At 38.3% G+C, this 20,399-nt stretch overlaps 1 protein-coding gene and 1 pseudogene across 28 annotated transcripts in view; both read right to left on the reverse strand.

Annotated features, from left to right (window-relative positions):
• The window catches only part of EVI5 (ecotropic viral integration site 5), a 283,715-nt gene that overhangs the window by 124,816 nt on the left and 138,500 nt on the right, over nt 1-20,399 (reverse strand). For 26 of the 28 annotated variants that reach the window (NM_005665.6, NM_001308248.2, NM_001377212.1 and 23 more), the window contains one exon: nt 2,691-2,825. In NM_005665.6, coding sequence (NP_005656.4) covers nt 2,691-2,825 — 135 coding nt within the window. Of the gene's footprint in view, nt 1-2,690; nt 2,826-5,603; nt 5,727-20,399 lie in introns of those variants that run through there. The other 2 variants (XR_001737401.2, NM_001377211.1) reach the window with 2 other exon arrangements.
• HMGB3P9 (high mobility group box 3 pseudogene 9) lies at nt 13,337-14,219 on the reverse strand (annotated as a pseudogene).

The following is a 20,399-nucleotide window of genomic DNA, read 5'->3' on the forward strand; positions in this document are numbered from 1 at the left end:
TTCCATTTGCTTGGTAGATCTTCCTCCATCCCTTTATTTTGAGCCTGTGTGTGTCTTTGCATGTGAGATGGGTTTCCTGAATACAGCACACTGATGGGTCTTGACTCTTTATCCAATTTGCCAGTCTGTGTCTTTTAATTGGAGCATTTAGCCCCTTTACATTTAAGGTTAATATTGTTATGTGTGAATTTGATCCTGACATTATGATGTTAGCTGATAACGAGCATATTTTGCTCGTTAGTGGAAGCAGTTTCTTCCTAGCCTCTATGGTCTTTACAATTTGGCATGTTTTTGCAGTGGCTGGTACCAGCTGTTCCTTTCCATGTTTAGTGCTTCCTTCAGGAGCTCTTTTAGGGCAGGCCTGGTGGTGACAAAATCTCTCACCATTTGCTTGACTGAGGAGGATTTTATTTCTCCTTCACTTATGAAGCTTAGTTTGGCTGGATATGAAATTCTGGGTTGAAAATTCTTTTCTTTAAGAATGTTGAATATTGGCCCCCACTCTCTTCTGGCTTGTAGTTTCTGCTGAGAGATCAGCTGTTAGTCTGATGGGCTTCCCTTTGTGGGTAACCCGACCTTTCTCTCTGGCTGCCCTTAACATTTCTAAAACTTCATTTCAACTTTGGTGAATCTGACAATTATGTGTCTTGGAGTTGCTCTTCTTGAGGAGTATCTTTGTGGTATTCTCTGTAATTCCTGAATTTGAATGTTGGCCTGCCTTGCTAGATTGGGGAAGTTCTCCTGGATAATATCCTGCAGAGTTTTCCAACTTGGTTCCATTCTCCCCGTCACTTTCAGGTACACCAATCAGACGTAGATTTGGTCTTTTCACATAGTCCCATATTTCTTGGAGACTTTTTTCGTTTCTTTTTATTCTTTTTTCTCCAAACTTCTCTTCTCGCTTCATTTCATTCATTTGATATTCCATCGCTGATACCCTTTCTTCCACTTGATCGAATCGGCTACTGAGGCTTGTGCATTCGTCACGTAGTTCTCGTGCCGTGGTTTTCAGCTCCATCAGGTCCTTTAAGGACTTCTCTGCATTGGTTATTCTAGTTAACCATTTGTCCAATCTTTTTTCAAGGTCTTTAACTTCTTTGCCATGGGTTCGAACTTCCTCCTTTAGCTCGGAGTAGTTTGGTCGTCTGAAGCCTTCTTCTCTCAACTCGTCAAAGTCATTCTCCATTCAGCTTTTTTCCGGTGCTGGTGAGGAGCTGCGTTCCTTTAGAGGAGAAGAGGCACTCTGCTTTTTAGAATTTTCAGTTTTTCTGCTCTGTTTTTTCCCCATCTTTGTGGTTTTATCTACGTTTGGTCTTCAATGGTGGTGACGTACAGATGGGGTTTTGGTGTGGATGTCCTTTCTGTTTGTTAGTTTTCCTTCTACCAGTCAGGACCCTTAGCTGCAAGTCTGTTGGAGTTTGCTGGAGGTCCACTCCAGACCCTGTTTGCCTGTGTATCAGCAGCGGAGGCTGCAGAACAGCAGATATTTGGTGAACAGCAAATGTTGCTGCCTGATCGTTCCTCTGGAAGCTTTGTCTCAGAGGGGTACCCGGCCGTGTGAGGTGTCAGTCTGCCCCTACTGGGGGGTGCCTCCCAGTTAGGCTACTCGGGGGTCAGGGCCCCACTTGAGGAGGCAGTCTGTCGGTTCTCAGATCTCAAGCTGCGTGCTGGGAGAACCACTACTCTCTTCAAAGCTGACAGACAGGGACATTTAAGTCTGCAGAGGTTTCTGCTGACTTTTGATTCGCTATGCCCTGCCCCCGAGGTGGAGTCTACAGGGGCAGGCAGGCCTCCTTGAGCTGCAGTGGGCTCCACCCAGTTGGAGCTTCCTGGCCGCGTTGTTTACCTACTCAAGCCTCGGCAATGGCAGGCGCCCCCGCTGCAGCCTCGCTGCCGCCTTGCAGTTTGATCTCAGACTGCTGTGCTAGTAATGAGTGAGGCTCTGTGAGCGTAGGACCCTCCGAGCCAGGCACAGGACATAACCTCCTGGTGTGCTGTTTGCTCAGACCATCGGAAAAGCGCAGTATTAGGGTGCGAGTGACCCGATTTTCCAGGTGCCGTCCATCACCCCTTTCCTTGGCTAGGAAAGGGAATTTCCTGACCCCTTGCGCTTCGCGGCTCAGGCTCGGTGCACTACACCCACTATCCTGCACCCACTGTCCAACAATCCCAATGAGATGCACCTGGTACGGCAGTTGGAAATGCAGAAATCATTCGTCTTCTGCGTCGCTCACACTGGGAGCTGTAGACAGGAGCTGTTCCTATTCAGCTATCTTGGCTCCACCCGCTCAGATGAAATTTTCCCGAAATGTCTATGTATTAGTCCTATTCTATCTCTTCCACATGAAAATATTGCAATATTTGATGATAACAGTTAATTTCTGTCACCTGAGTTTCTCTCTTCTGCAACATTTAGATACTCTTTTTATGAAAATTATTCTGGTCGTTTTCCTCCAAAAGGGCTCTAATCTCCATTTTTATCCTTAAATACGGGGCTGTGATTAGTATGAAGGCAACAAGGAATAACTGGCAATTTTAAAAATCTTTTTTTCCTTTTCCTCTTAGTAACTAATATGTAAGGCTTCTAATGTATAAAAACACCAAGTCAATTAAATTGCTCAGTAAGTACTTAATAAATATCACATATCCCCTCTAATTTGGGAATGACTGCATTTGTGTAGGTTTCTTACCTTCTCTATATCCAAGACTTTATCCTGCATCTCTTTTAATGCACACTGAGACTCAGCTTCACTCAGTCGGGCTTGGACCAATTCCTTCTCTAGCTGTAGCACAAAATCTTCGTTGTAGTTGGAACTGCATTTATGCTAAAGGTTACAGACATACACTGAAATTTCATGAAAGTATAAACATGTATATACAATAAAAACAATGCAACCACATAATACAGTTATATTACATTAAGGGCAACTAAATAGGAGAAGTTCCATCTACCCAATATTTCCAATGTATCTCCTCCAATTAACTTCTCCAATGAGTAAAAAAGCCCACCTTTGATATCTATAAAGATGACCACATTATTGGGTTTTGGTAACTAGTTATTACGCTGATCAAATCTGATTCATATAAGATAAACATCTCCTTTTATCTGTCCATCCATCCAGATACAAAGAATTTTTTCTGACTTTACAGACCTACACTGCACAATAAATAGGATAGCAATTAGCCACATGTGGCTACTGAACACTTGAAATGTGGCTAATACAGATTAAAACAAGTTATAAGTATAAAATACAAACTGGATTTTGAAGAATTAATATGAAATAAAAAAATCTCAATGATTTTTATATTGATTACATTAAAATAATATTTTGAATATACTGAGGTAAATAAAAATATTAATTTTACCTTTTTTTGCTCCTTTTAATGTGGGTATTAGAAAATCTTAAATTGCATATGTGACACATTATATTGCTATTTGATAGTACTGTTATATACTACAGAAGACATGTAAAGATTACTGAAAAATATATTTTAATCTAATAGAAAAAAAACAGGGTACCTACAATAATGTGAACCATCTAAATTCCAAAATAACAAAATTGTATTTGTCCTTAGAAATGTAGAAATCTTCTTCAAAAGATATGCATGGTTTCCCAGCACTTTGGGAGGCCGAGGCGGGTGGATCACTTGAGGCCAGGAGTTCAAGATCAGCCTGGCCAACGTGGTGAAACCCTGTCTCTACTAAAAATACAAAAATTAGCTGGGCATGGTGGCACACGCCTGTAATCCCCGCTACTAGGGAGTGTGAGGCAGGAGAATGGCTTGAGCCCGGGAGGTGGAGGTTGCAGTAAGCCAAGATCATGCCACTGTACTCCAGCCCAGGTGACAGAGCAAGACTCTTGTCTCAAGAAAAAAAAAAAAAAAAGATATACATAGAAATAATTGCTGGAAGTAGAGAAGACGCAGATGCTGCACAAAGAAATTAACCACGGAAGCACGCAACTTTCCCATTTGCTTTCCTACTCTATAAAACATGAATATTGATGCAAACACTTAAGTCGTCATTTTTAAGCCAGTGCCCATAGAAAAGCTTCTGTACAAAAGCAATATGTAATTCATCATTATAAAATACTTTCTAAAATAAATTGTCTATCACTTCACATTTAATTTATGTAGTAAAGAAAATGTGGCAACTCAAAATTTCAAAATAAAGTCATAAAAAACAATCTTCTACTGAACTAGCATGAATAAAGCACAGTTATTTTTACTCTTTAATATGTTAGGAACAAAACAGATGTCAAATCAAAACTATTAAAAATAACCAGATGCTTAATACATGGTACTCTCCTGCCCCAGTTACCAAAAAAAGATGTGCAAATGAGGACTTTAATTCAATGCATTATACATTATTTCTTCTAGTAATTTTGATACTATTGAAACAATATTTCAATACGAGAAGTGCATCTGCAACAGACACATCATCTTAGCAAATACTTACCTTTTATCAATTAGGAAAAAGGCATTCTTTTGGAATGACCACATCCAAACTAGATGTGCCATAATTTATTTAATTAGATCACAGTTATTTCGTGGGTACTGGAAGAATTTTTTTGCCCTCAACTTAAAGCCCTGGCAACTGTAGCACAGGTTTGTTTGCAAAGACTTTATATTAGAAGATCCCCAAGAAAACATCAAACTCAAAGGCCCATATGAGAATGGAATTCTTGATTGGCATAAACCAACTAATCCAATCAAGTACAAAAAGCTATAGTAATGTTGGGCACAAATCTTTATTAATAAAATTTACAGAGAGCTGAAATGCTCTGATAACAAGTCATTCTGGATAATATATATCTTATGCTTTTTATACTCTAAAACATATTATTTTAGTCTTCTGGATTAAAATAACTCTAAACGTATTATGTAAATTTTTTTGCCACTGACAGAGTTTACAGAATATAATTCCCAGGTCATCATGATGGTGGCCAATTAACATACTGCAAATTACACAGTGTCTAAGGAAAAGATGCTGCTGTGAACTATAAATTACCTGAAGCTAACCACTGTAGTTTCAATTTATTCTATTTTCCACAGGGGGAAAACAGTTTTATAAACATGTTTTAATGTTTGACAGAAATGACAATTATGACAGCAGCTAACATCTACTCACCACTTACTATGTGCCAGACACATGTTAAGCACTTTATATTCTCCTTTAACCTTCACCACAATTACTGTCTTACTAATAAGGAAACTAATAGGGTACACCAAGGTCAAACAGCAGTTGATAGTGCTATTAATTGACAGTTTGTATTACAGAGCCCATGTTCCTCACCTTTAAGCCATATAGGTGTTGAAGAGTTTAATATATTGTTTTAATATATACTGTTCTAAAAATTAATTATATAATATTAAAAAAATCCAAACCTCTAAAAAAAATCTAAGCATATAGATCTCACATAATGTTCTTGTATTAAGAAATTCCTAGAAGAGTGCATTTCATATTCAAGTGAGTAACTTGGACAGACACACAATTTGTTTTACCAAATGACAACTGCCACAATTATGATGGCTGGCAGTCTCAGCAAGGGGAGCCGTTTATTTAAAAGCATAGAAATGACAGATGACTTCTCTATACTTACATCAAGTTAATTTATGTAAATGAATCTCATAATGTTTCTGTGATACCAGCAATCCCATTCCAATGAAACTGACAGAAATTCTTTTTAGTAAGCAGAGTCTGCTTTTCAATCCTATGTGCTTTTCTGGTGTTGCAAAAATTACAAAGGTAAAGGTAAGTTAGAAAGTCCTCAGTAATCCTTTTTGCTTGTGTCTTGAGCTTAAAAAAAAATCTTCAATATTTGAAGGAAATAGGAGTAATACAGTAAAAAGTAAATATTTGTATTGGGGGAAGTTTCTCATATTATTAAAAAAAATTTCAATATTTGAAGGAAATAGGAGTAATACAGTAAAAAGTAAATATTTGTATTGGGGGAAGTTTCTCATATTATTAAGTGAAAAAAAATTGAAATTAGAAAAAGGGTTGTCCATGCAAATGTATCCAATATTGCTTGAATTTAAGTATACATTAAGCTTTTAACTAAGTTCAAGATATGACATTTATATGCTCTTTTCAGGAACCCAAACATTTCATGGAACCCTGTTCTCATCTCTTTTGTAACACTTATCACAACTCTAAATAAAAAATTGTGCATGCTGCCCAAAGTAATTATAGATTCAATGCTATTCCCATCAAACTACCATTGACATTCTTCACAGAATTAGAAAAAAACTACTTTAAATTTCATATGGAACCAAAGAAGAGCCTGTATAGCCAAGACAATCCTAAGCAAAAAGAACAAAGCTGGAGGCATCACGCTACCTGACTTCAAACTATACTACAAGGCTACAGTAACCCAACAGCATGGTACTGGTACCAAAAAGACATATAAACCAATGGAACAAAACAGAGACCTGAGAAATAACACCGTACTTCTACAACCATCTGATCTTCAACAAACCCGACAAAAGCAATGGGGAAAGGATCTCCTATTCAATAAATGGTGCTTGGAAAACTGGCTAGCCATATGCAGCAAACTGAAACCGGATCCCTTCCTCACATGTTATACAAAAATTTACTCAAGATGGATTGAAGACTTAAATGTAAAACCCCAAACCATAAAAACCCTAGAAGAAAACCTAGGCAATACCATTCAGGACATAGGCATGGGCAAAGACTTCATGTCTAAAACACCAAAAGCAATTGTAACAAAAGCCAAAACTGACAAATGGGATCTAATTAAAGAGCTTCTGCACAGCAAAAGAAACTATCATCAGAGTGAACAGTCAACCTACAGAACAGGAGAAAATTTTTGCAATCTACCCATCTGACAAAGGTCTAAAATTCAGAATCTATGGGGAACCTAAACAAATTTACAAGAGAAAAACAACCCCATCAAAAAGTGGGCAAAGGATATGAATAGACACTTCTCAAAAGATGACATTTACACGGCCAAAAAACATCAAAAAAAAGCTCAACATCACTGATCATTAGAGAAATGCAAATCAAACCCACAATGAGATACCATCTCATGCCAATCAGAATGGCAATTATTAAAAAGCCAAGAAACAACAGATGCTGGTGAGGCTGCGGACAGATAGGAATGCTTTTATAGTGTTCATGGTAATGTAAATTAGTTCAACCAACACGGTTCTAGAACCAGAAATACCATTTGACCCAGCAATACCATTACCAGGCATATACCCAAAAGAATACAAATCATTCTACTATAAAGACACATACATACATATGTTTACCGCAGCACTGTTTACAATAGCGAAGAGTTGGAACCAACCCAAATGCCCATCAATGATAGACTAGATTAAGAAAATGTGGTACATAAACACCATGGAATACTATGCAGCCATAAAAAGGAATGAGATCATGTCTTTTGCAGGGACATAGAAGCCATCATCCTCAGCAAACTGACACAGGAACAGAATACCAAACACCGTATGTTCTCACTCTTAAGTGGGAGCTGAGCAATGAGAACACATGGACACAGGGGAGAGAACAACACACACCAGGGCCTGTTGGGGGTTGAGGGAGAAGAGGGAACTTAGAGGATGAGTCAATATGTGCAGCAAGCCACCATGGCACACATATACCTATGTAACAAACCTGCACATTCTGCACATGTATCCCAGAACTTAAAAGTAAAATTGAAAAAAAAAATTGTGTGATTAATTTTTAAAATGTTTATCTCTATATATACTATACAAGCAAATGCTGGAGACAGTTTGACTGACTTACCATTATAAATCAATAACTGCCTGGTTAACAGAACCAAACAGTGCTTTTCATAGGTAGGTTAGCAAAATATTAACTGCTGAATCAATCAGTTAACTCCTGGTTTAACAACAAAATCCCTGTATTATATAATTTACATTAAACATAGGAAGTGGAAGTTGAATGCTGCAAAAAAAAATCTATAAAACTGATGGTTAATCTATTTTTAATTGAAATGCCTATGTAGCAATCTTGAACCACTTTCCCAAAACAAAATAATGATACAATGTTTCCATTTGTTCCAGAAACAAAATTTGTAATAATGTGGGAAGATGGCACATTTGGACCGCCATATCCAAAAGCATCTGAAAAAAGTTATACAAGGCAAGTACTCTGGAATAGGTTTCTACACCACAAAATCACAGCAGAAAAAGATAAAAAGTTGTATCTTCCTCTCCCTCAGCATATGACCCCAAAAGGATGTTTGTAATCCTCCCTACCACATGCTGTAAACAGGATTTAAAAAAACCCAAGCAATACTGTTGTACTATTTAAGTATTTGCTACACTAAAATTGTTGAAAAATAGGCCGGGAGCGGTGGTGCACGGTGGCTCACGCCTGTAATCCCAGCACTTTAGGAGGCTGAGGCGGGTGGATCACGACGTCAGGAGATCAAGACCATCCTGGCTAACACAGTGAAACCCCGTCTCTACTAAAAATACAAAAAATTAGCCAGGCATGTACCTGTAGTCCCAGCTACTCAGGAGGCTGAGGCAGGAGAGTCACTTGAACCCAAGAGGTGGAGGTTGCCGTGAGCCAAGACTGTGCCACTGCACTCCAGCCTGGGCAACAGAGCGATACTCCATCCCAAAAAAAAAAAATTGTTGAAAAATCTATAATTTTTATATGATTTGCGCTCAACATCCAAAAATTACATCCTTTAAGAAGACATTTACCTCTGGTTATTTGTGTAACTGTAAGATTTTGTTGTTATTGTTGTTAATGCTAAGAAAATGTTAAGAAAACAATTTCCATTAAAGTAACGCCTCATTTATTATTTAAAAGGAAAATATAATCACATACGAATGTAAAACATTTTATCTTTAGACTAAGGTCAAAATTAGTTCTGGAAAAAATCTCCGTCCAGATTTATAGGTATAGTGACCAAAAGTTAAAGAATTTACCAAATTATAAGTGTAAAGTCATCTATCTATCTTGGATTTTTAGAGAGACCTATATCAACTAACTTCCATTTTCCTAAAGAAAAACAAACCCACCAGGTATATCAGGTGTGAATAATTCCTAAATGCTGCTGAACAAACATTTTCTAAAATACATTATCTAGAAGAATTCACAACTTCACTGATAAACAGGTAGTTTTAATTTTATTAACATTTATTCATGTGTTTAATCCAGGTAAGATGGGTTTATATTCTTCATATCAAATCCTTGGTTCTTAAAAGTCCTACATAATTCTTTGATGTTCTCTCTAGAATTATAGAAAAGGGAGGGAAGGTCAGAAGAAATCCTGTCTAGCCTCCCATTAAGTACTTCCTAGTATGAAGGTCCCAATAACTTCAAACGGCAGTCATTTCAGCATTCAGCAGCTTTTAACTCAAATTCCTCCTTATTTATGATGAACTAAACTGCATAATAAAAATACCTGAATGGTAAGACCAAGAACAGCTGGATAAAACTGCATAATAAAAACACCTGAATGATAAGTAGTCATAGGTAGGTCACAAAGCTTTTAAATGGATCAAGCTAGACTTAGACAGTTGGTCTCATCAGGAAAAGTTGTCCAACATAAACACATTTGTTATACCCCACATTAGCAGGAGTCAGATGTGCAACTGTGTGAAATATCACTGGAGGATTTCTACATCTAGGGGCTTCTTGGAAAAACTCATATGGAGCATGTAAAATACTTAAATGGAAAGTTTAATCTATATCTCAGTTTGATCTTATACTTATTTACTTAATTTATTTAGTGCACTAAATACAAATTCAATAATAAATTAACTCAAATCTTTTTTTTTTTTTTTTTTTTTTTAAAGAGATAGGGTCTTGCTCTGTCACCCAATCTGGAGTGCAGTGGCATCATCAATGATCACTCAAGTGATCCTCCCACCTCAGCCTCCCCAGTAGCTAGGACTTTTAGGCATGTGCCACCATGCTTGGCTAATTTTTTTTATTTCTTGTAGAGACAGGGTCCTGCTGTGTCGCTGGTCTTGAACTCCCGGCCTCAAGCAATCCTCTTGTCTTGTCTCCCAAAGAGCTATGGTTACAGGCATGAGTCACTGTGCCTGGCCTTCAATCATTTTTGAAAACTAACAATATTAGGTTCAAACTACCAAGTGCCAGCGTAAAATGGAAGCAGTGATCTACTAAAGACAATCATTCTATAACTGGAACTGCAGAAACACTTGTTAAATAATGCCAATACTCAAAATTAGTTAAAAATAAACTTTACCTTTTAAAAAACTGCTGTTCTGAAGTTTAATATTCTATTGTAACATAACTATATAGCATATCACTGTACCAATAGCATTGAAACTATTAAGAATTATATGACATATTGAACAAAAGTCAATAAATCTGGAGTAACATGAAAGAGTTCATAGTGAGTCAGAGGGAGCTAGAGATATTAAAAGAAAAAAAGAGAAAGATTCTTGTTTATAACTAATAAATGTAGAAAAATGAGAGAATATGAAAGTCACCATTCTGGAAACCTAATGTAATAACTGATTCCATAAGGATCATTTGTGGAGGGTAAAACCATTAGGTAAAAGGTGGATGGAGAACAAGATAGTTATTTGGTACAAAAATATTTCCAACAGATCACTTAATAGTGGCAAACATGAAATCATAGCTTTTACAAGGGAGAGAGTCTGGGATAACCAAACCTAGCATGGAAATCAAACTCAGCATCACTAATAATGGGCACAATTTATATCATGTGCCTTCCTGATTTAAAGCAAAAAGAAGTTTACAACATCATCTATAATCTAGATGTCTGAGTCCAGTTGACAAGAAATACAATGACACCACGAGGAAGGAATTAGACAAATCTAGAATATGAAATAAGACAACTGGGCCACACCTGTAAAAAGTTAATGTCATTCCTGACATTGGTTGTTTCTTCCATCAGTCTGGACACAGATCTGTCAACTTTACTGATCATTTCAAGAAGCCAGCTTTTGGTTTGACAAAGTTTCTCTACTTTTGTTTTCAATTTAACTGATTTCTACACTTTTTATTATTTGTCCATTCTGCTTGGTTAGCTTGAATTTCTTTATATGTCTAGTTTATTAAGGTGGGAGCTTAGATTATTGGTTTGAGACTTACTGACTTGCCTAATAAGCACTTAATACATTTTCCACTTAATATTATAAGCACTTAATACATTTTCCACTAAGCACTGCATTAGATGTGTCCCACAAATTTTTAGATATTGTGTCTTCATTTTCATTTAATTAAAATATGTTCTAATTTCCTTTTAGACTTCCTCTTTGACCCATGGGTAAAAACGTATTAATTTCCAAATATTAGGGGATTTTCCAGATACCTATTATTAATTTCTAATTGAATGATATTAGAGTCAGAGAAGATCCTTTGTATGATTTCAATTACTTCAAATTTGATAAAGTTCCTTTTAAGGCCCAGAATATGTTCTATCTTCATAAATCTTCCATGTATGTTTGAAAGGATATGTATTCTGCTGTTATTAGGTACAGTGTTCCATAAATATCTATCAGGGCAGGTTGGATGATAGTACTGTTCAGGTCTTCTGCTACCTACTTGCTTCATCAATTACTGAGACAGGGATGTCGAAGACCTGAACTTGTTCACTCTACCTTTCAGTTCTATCAGTTCAAGTTACTGTTCCTGTTAGCATACATATATTAGGTGACATACATTCCTAAACACATACAATCTTAAATAAGATTGTTATGTCTTCTTGGTGAACTATCATTATAGATAGTTCTCTTTACTCTTGGTGCTATTCCTTGTTCTAAAGTCCACCTTGTCTATGATACTAATGCAGACACTCCAGGCTTTGTTTTGATTAGATTTCCATATTATATCTTTTTCATCCTTTTAATTTTTTTCCAGTTGTAATTAAAATATTATGTCCAATAATTATAGGCAGACCATCTTGATCCTTCACTCCTAGAAGTCCACTGTGGGGGAAAGTCACTGTCATTAGCTATCAAGCTCTACACATTTCCATAGCTACACAGCAACCTACTTTGGCCTCTGTAATTTCTAATCTTTGCAACTGAGACTATTTCACCCCTACCTACAGGCTCAGATTCACTGATATTTTGGGACCAACCTTATTTCTAACTAGAGGAACATAAAGAACCTTATGTCTGCTCTACTCTGGCACATTAAATTGAGCTATCCTATCCAAATATCACATCCCCAAATCATATCAAATCTTAGCTGTGGGTAATAGCCCCCATATTCATCCTTGTCCAAGCTGCTCTCCCATTAATCTAGTAAATGCTGATACTCCAAATTAATGTCTCTTATATCTAAATCCCCTTGCCTTTGGGCTACAGGTCATTGGTCTGATAATCTGTTGCAACTCACTTCTCTTGCTGCCACCAACCTGCTCTGCTTCACTTCACGTTGCATTCTCCTTTATAAGTCTCAAGGCAACCACAACTCTGATCAAGACATGCCCAACCCCAGCCCTGAGTGAATCTCCTAATCCTCCCAGGCTCCCCCTGCAAACCAGATCACTTGTTGTTGGTTCTAACCTGACCCTCACCAATGGGTTCTAGCACAGGGACTTTACACGTTCTCCCATAAACTCGTCTTCTACTGCAATCACTTAAATGTGTCGAGTTTCTTTGAGCTTTATATTATCATTTATTTAGTCTTTTTAAAAACAATTTATTGAAGCAAAATTCTAAAATCATTTTTAACACTATTTAACTTCAAAAACATTTCAGCATTCTAAACATACAAAAAAAACCCCAGAACACTGAAAATCACATTTAAGTACAGAAGGTTCTTTCTTGAACTTTCATTGATGCAGTGGCTCTTTACTTTGCTGACAACAGTTCTACAGCTTGTTCAAAAAGTTTATAGACAATGCACTTAATTAAAAAAATCCCAACACTTCTCAGGCCAGCTGACCCCTCTTTGTCCACAGCTAAGAATGGTAGCAGACTGTTATATTACCGTTTGTAGAAACAAGACAAGCTGAAGCTAAATGGCTGAACATTACAGGGGAAACAGGACTAGCCTCACAGTGCACGCTCTAAGCTACGACCCCTCCAAAAGGCATTGTCCCCCACAGGCTCAGCGCCAAGAAACGAGCACCAAGAGTTTGTCTTGGTTGTTTTGTTCTTTTTATAAACTATATATATGTACAGTTGATAACAGGATTTCTAGCCAATAACCGTATAGTTAATACCACCTTACAAATGTTTTTTAAAATGTCAGAAATATCTTTAAATGCTTTGTCACACCAACAGCAAAGTGCATAGAGTGAGGAAAACATGAGATTATCTTTTCGTTTTGGGGATGTTTGGAAATATGTACAACTTTGATACAATTTCAGAGTGTTCCAGACACACATGACCACTTCAGGTAAACCACTGACAATTTTTAGAGCACTCTGAGAGACTGCAATATGATTGTGATCAAATTCTGTAATTAAACCTAATGAGGGCAACAGACATTTCTCAAACAACAGATGTGTCAATCATGGCCCTCCCCTACTCTAAGGTATTCACAAGGAGACAGATGAACAGTTTTTTATTCATCATCACCTTCTTCTTCCTCTTCCTCCTCCTCCTCCTCTTCCTCACATCTTCTTTGACTACTTCTTCCACCTTTTTCCAAGGAACTTTAAGCAGGACCCTTTGCACCAGACTTGCCGTTAGACTTAAAGTCAGCAACATCCTTCTCGTATTTCTCCCTCAGCTTCACTGCCTTAGTGATGCAAGGCTGCTTTTCACTGACATTTAAGTTATCCCACACCTCACACAGCTTTTTTGCTACATCTCTAATAAAGATGCCAGGGTTTGTGGATTTGATCTTGGGGTGAAATTCTGAACGGTGCAGGAAGAATACAGACATGTCTCTTTTGGAGACATGAAGGTCCTTCTTCTTGCCTCACTTAACTGGTTCACAATCCTGCACCTTCCAAGCATAGCATACTTTATCTGCCTTTGTCATTTCACCACATTTAGGATTCTCTTTGCCAGACACTGTCTTCCACCTCTCAGAGCACTTCTTGGAAAATTCTGCAAAATTGACAGAGACCTCTGGGTTTCTCTTATGTTCTTCTCTGCATGTCTGCACAAAGAAGGAATAAGCAGACACCTTTCCCTCTGGTTTCTTGGGATCACCTTTAGCCATCCTGACTAAATTGCTTCTTCCTTCCTGGTCACCTAGCAAGAGGGAAGGTGAAGGGGGCAGGAAGGGTGCTTGGAGGAGAGGTAGGAGGTCAATAACATTTTTTGAGGGGGTGGGGGGTATAGAATTTCTCCCTGTCGCCCAGGCTGGAGTGCAGTGGCGCAATCTTAGCTCACTGTAAACTCCACCTCCTGGGTTCAAGTGATTCTCATGCCTCAGCCTCCTAAATAGCTGGGATTACTAGACCACCATGCACCACCATGCCCAGCTAAATTTTGTATCTTTAGTAGAGATGGGGTTTCACCATGTTGGCCAAGCTGGTCTCAAACTCCTGGCCTCAAGTGATCCGCCCATCTCAGCCTCTCAAAGTGCTGGGATTACAGGCATGAGCCACCATGCCTGGCCTCAAATAACCATTTTAAAGTGGCCAGGCACGGTGGCTCACGCCTGTAATCCCAGCACTTTGGGAGGCTGAGGTGGGTAGATTACAAGGTCAGGAGATCGAGACCATCCTGGCTAACACGGTGAAACCCCGACTCTACTAAAAATACAAAAAAAAAAAAAAAAAAAAAAAAAAAACAAAAACCAGCCGGGCATGGTGGCAGGTGCCTTAGTCCCAGATACTCGGGAGGCTGAGGGAGGAGAATGGCGTGAACCCGGGAGGCGGAGCTTGCAATGAGCAGAGATCACACCACCGCACTCCATCCTGGGCAACAGAGCGAGACTCAGTCTCAAAAAAATAATAATAATAAAAATAAAAAAATAAAAAAAATAAAGTGAACAATTCAGTGTCTTATAGTATATTAAGAATGTTGTATGACCATCCACATCTAGTTCCATATCATTTCCATCATTCTAAAGTAAAACCCCTTACCTATTAAGCAGTTTCTTATCTTTCCCCCATCACCACCTTCTGGAAACCACTAATCTGTGTTCTGTTCTCTTTAGATTTATCTATTCTAGATATTTCCTATAAATGGAGTCATACAATATGTGATCTTTTGGGTCTGGCTTTTTTCACTTAGCTTAAGGTTTTGGAAGTTTATCTACTTTATACCATATATTAGTACTTCATTCCTTTTTATGGCTGAATAATATTCCATTGTGTGTATACGACAATTTGTTAATCCATTCACCCACTGAAGGATTTTTGGGTTGTGTCCACTTTTCTGTGAATGCTGCTGCTACAAACGTGTATACACATACTTGTTTGAGTACAAGCATTCTCTTATTTGCGGTACATACCTCTGAGTTGAATAGCAGGGTACCATGATAATTCTATGCTTAACTTTTTGAGGAACTGCCAAACTGTTTTCCACAGCAGCTTTATATTTTATTTTATATTCCTACCAAAAAGAAATGTATGAGGGTTTCAACTTTTCCACCTCATTGCCAACATGTCTCTTAAAAAATTATAGCCATCCATTATAATGGATGTGAAGAGGCACCTCATCATGGTTTTGCTCTGCATTTCCCTCATGAAAAATGATGTTGAGCATCTTTTCATTTGCTTTTTGGCCATCTGCATATCTTCTTTGGAGAAAAGTCCACTCAAGTCTTTTGCCCACTTTATAACTGGGTTGTCTTTTTGTTGTTGAGTTGTAAGAGTTCATGATATATTCTGGATGGTAGATCCTGATCAGCTACAAAACTTGCAACTATTTTCTACCATTCTACAGGTTGCCTTTTCACTTTCTTAATCTCCTTTGATGCACAAAAAGTTTTCATTTAGATGAAGTCCAGTTTATCTTTTGTTGCTCATGCCTTTGGTGCCTAAGAACCAATATCTAAAACCACTGACAAATCCAAGGTCATGAAGATTTATCTCTATGTATTCTTCTCAGGGTTTTATGGCTTTAAAAACATAAACATGTTATTTTTAAATCATAAAGTTGGCTGAGCACAGTGGCTTATGCTTGTAATCTCAGCACTTTGGGAGGCTGAGGCAGGCAGATCGCTTGAGTTCAGCTTGAGGCCAGCCTGGGCAACATGGCAAAACCTCATCTCTATTAAAAAATATGGAAATTAGCTGGGCATGGTGGCATGTGCCTGTAGTCTCAGCTACTCGGGAGGCTGAGGTGAGAGGATCATTTGAGCCCTGGAGGTTAAGGCTGCAGTGAGCTGATTGTGCCCTTACACTCGAGCCTGGCGACAGAGAAAGACCCTGCCTAAAACAAAACAAAACTGTAAAATCTATGGAATATTTTTAGTTAATTTTTGTATACAGTATGTTAGGCATCTAATTTCATTCTTTAGCAGGAGAATATCCAGTTTTCCCAGCATCATTTGTTGAAGAGACTATTCGTTCCTCATTGAATGTTCTTAGCATCCTTGTGGAAAACCAACTGGCCATAGATGTATGGGTTTATTTCTGGACTCTCATTTCTATTCCATTAATCTATGTGTCTATCCTTATGCCAGTACTACTTTGACTACTCTAGCTTTGTATTAAGTTTACAAATCAGAAAGTGTGAGTCCTCCAACTTTGTTCTTTTTTTTCAAGATTGTTTGGCTATTCAAGGCCACTTGCAATTCCATGTGAATTTTAAGATCAGCTTTTGCATTTCTGCAAAAGTCCATGGGAATTTTGATAGGTTTGATAGGATTGAATCTGTAGGTGATTTTGGGTAGTACTGACATCTTAACATTAAGACTTCCAATATACAAATACGAGATAGATTTTCACTTATTTATATCTTCTTTATTTTGACAAATGAGTAAACATCCTTTTTTTCAGAGTACAAGTTTTCAGAGTACAAGTCTTTACCTTCTTGGTTAAATTTATTCTTATGCATTTTATTCTTTTGGAAGCTACTGTGAATGGACTTTTTTTCTTAATTTCCTTCTCTAGTTATTCATTGCTGGCGCATTCTTTTACTTTTAACCTAACAAGATCTTTGTATTTAAAGCAAATTTCTTACAGATATGTTTTAACTTTTTATCCAATCTTATAATTGGTATATTTAAAATACATTTAATATAATTATTGATATGGTTGGAATAAAATCTATAATCTTCCAAATTTTCTATCTGATCCACTTACTTGCTGTTCCTTTTTTCTTTTTCCTGATTAAATAATTTCTTAAATTACTCAATTTTATCTCTGTTATTTGCTACCTAATTATATATTTTTCTCTAAAAAAATTTTAGGTGGTTTCCCTATGGTTTATAAATATACATTTTACTGTTCCTTGAAAACCACAAATTTATTCCTTGATAAAGGCCTTTCTACTAAGTGTATGCTCTATCTGGAATGTTTCTTCCCAGATCTTCAAATAGTTTCCATCTTCATATCATTGAGTCTCTGGTCAAATCTTAGCTCCTCAGGGAAGCTCTCCAAAACTAGCTTACCTACAGTAGCACCTGCACAAACCACCTCTCCTCTGCTTTATTTTTATTTTTCTTCATCACCTTATTACCACCTGAAATTGTATCTGTTTAATGTGTCTCCCCAACTAGAACACTTCACGTAACAGCAGTCTTCGTTTTTCTTGTTTACTATTATCGTACCCTCTGCACTTAAGACAATACTTTGCACATTAGTTTTCAAATAAATATATGAATAAGTTCATTCCATTATAAGATTAACACATATAGGACTAAGGAAAATACAAAGTATTTACACAAATTGAACCTGATATATTTACAATAAATTACAGAATAAAGAAATTAGTTGTTATCTTTCCCATGACTAAATTGGCCGCTACTTATATTTGGAGAAAAGGAGAAAGAGAGGAACCATAAACAAAATCTCGGTCAAAAAATTATTTAAATGTCTATTTGATATAGTCTTTGCATTGAAAGAATTTTAAAGTTAAAAAAAGATTTGAACCACAATGAGATACTACCCCACACCTACTAGGATAGCTATTACTTAACAAACAAAAATCAGAAAATAACAACAGTTGGCAAGGATATTAAGAAATTGGGGGCCGGGCGCAGTGGCTCACGCCTGTAATCCCAGCACTTTGGGAGGCCGAGGCGGGCGGATCACGAGGTCAGGAGATCGAGACCATCCCGGCTAAAACGGTGAAACCCCGTCTCTATTAAAAATACAAAAAATTAGCCAGGCGTAGTGGCGGGCGCCTGTAGTCCCAGCTACTTGGGAGGCTGAGGCAGGAGAATGGCGTGAACCCGGGAGGCGGAGCTTGCAGTGAGCCGAGATCCCGCCACTGCACTCCAGCCTGGGCGACAGAGCGAGACTCCGTCTCAAAAAAAAAAAAAAAAGAAAGAAATTGGAACCCTTGTACACTGCTTGTGGGAATGGAAAGTGGTACAGTTGCTATAGATAAGTCTGACACAACCTCAAAAAATTAAACATAAAATTACATATGATCCAGCAACTCTACTTCTAGGTATATGCTTAAAAGAATTAAGAGCAGGAACTTAAACAGATACTTATAGGGCAATGTTCATAGCAACATTATCCACAATAGCTAAAAGGCAGAAATAACCCAAATGTCCATCAACAAACAAACGGATGAACAAAACGTAGTATATACATACTATGGAATTTTATCAGCCATAAAAATGAATGAGATTCTGATACCTGTTATAACAATGATGGACTTTGAAAACATCATGCTTAGTGCAATAAGCCACACACAAAAGGACAAATATTATGTGCTTCCACTTAAATAAGCTACCCAGAATAAGCAAATTCATAGAGACAGAAAGTAGAACAGAGGTTACCGGAGGCTGGGAAGATGGGAAAAGATTATTGTTACTAGATACAGAGCTTCTGTTTCAGACAATGAAAAGGTTCTATAAATGAACAGTGGAGATGGCTGCACAATATTATAAATGTACTTAATGACACTGAACTGTACACTTAAATGGTAAATTTTAGGTTGTATATATTTTATCACAATGAAAAAAATCAGATCCAACAATCCCACTGCTGGCTCCAAAAGAAATAAAATCAGTATGTTGAAGAGGTATCTGTACTCCCACATTTATTGCAACACTACTCACAAAAGCTAAGATATGGAATCAACCTAAATATCCATCAACAGACAAACGGATAAGGGAAATGTGGTGTGTATGCACAATCAAATACTATTCTTGGGGAGAGGGTTCGAGATGAATGACTAGAGGTGTCCAATGCCAGTTCTCTTCAGAAAGAAGAACCAAGGTTACAAGTGAATAACCATAATGTGAATAGACTATCCAGAGAATGCTGGAGGCTAGTAGAGAACTCATGTGAAGAAGCTGGGGCACAGAAAAAGAAGGAAGCAAGAAGCTGGCAGAGATCGGCTAGGAACCCCGAGGGATTTGGTATCTAGTCAAAAGGGTAGTTGGGAGTGTTTGGGCTCCTCTTTAACCTGTGACAAACCACTGGTAACTGAACTGTCGGAGATCTCCTCTACCCTGCAAACCCAAACACTGGTGTGGGCAGTGATTTGGGGACTTCTTGAGGGCACTGCACCAGATTACCAACTTGCACTGGGTTGCTCACTCTGCCCCCGGACTTGAGCAGCAGCGATAGGGTGCTATACTGGGAGCACAGCCATCAGGGGTCTGTACCCTGCCCAGGGAACCTCAGCCTTTGTGTCTCCACATCACCAGAGCCCCATAGACATTCCCTGGCATCTGCTCAGATTGTGGCAGCAGCAAAGGGATGGCTGGACCCAGGGAGCTGCAGGGTTCCTCGGCAACTGCTGCCCCGAAGAGAAGAACAAGTATTGCACGCCAAGGGAGCACCCACTGGGACAAAGGAAACCAGAACACATACTTTCCTGTGCCCAAGAGCTCACCACCTGTGGACTCTGAGTGACTGCACTGCCTCCAGCAAAGATGTGGGCACTGTGCTTGGCTCTACAAGGCTTTGCAAGTGTGATTTCATCCCAGGGGCCAACCTAGTATGAGTGCTCAGACCCAGGCATGGAGATGGGGACTCCTCCTCAACCCCACTGCTGTAGGCATAGCCATGGCTGATACCACAGGAAACTGGCATGGGTGCATCAGAGCACACAGACTTTCTGGGGCAGACAGGGGTGACTGTGGTCTTACTGGCAATCAGTCCACCATATCTAAGCTTGTGCAAAAGGTGGGACCCCCTCCCCCTCTCCATGCAGAGCAGCAGCGTTCCTGCAAGGGAGAGGAGAGCCAAAAAGCTGTGTGTTTTGGACTGAGGAAGAAGACTCCAAAACAAAGACATTCTGGCAGCAAGCCAAGGGGCAGTCATCTTTTATGGCTCTCAGGTACATTGCAGCCTGGAGATAGACAGTGGTGTCTGACCAATTTGAGTGTTCTGAGTTTGGGGACAGGG

The sequence above is a fragment of the Homo sapiens genome, chromosome 1, assembly GCF_000001405.40.
Source record: "Homo sapiens chromosome 1, GRCh38.p14 Primary Assembly".
Taxonomy (NCBI): Eukaryota; Metazoa; Chordata; class Mammalia; order Primates; family Hominidae; genus Homo; species Homo sapiens.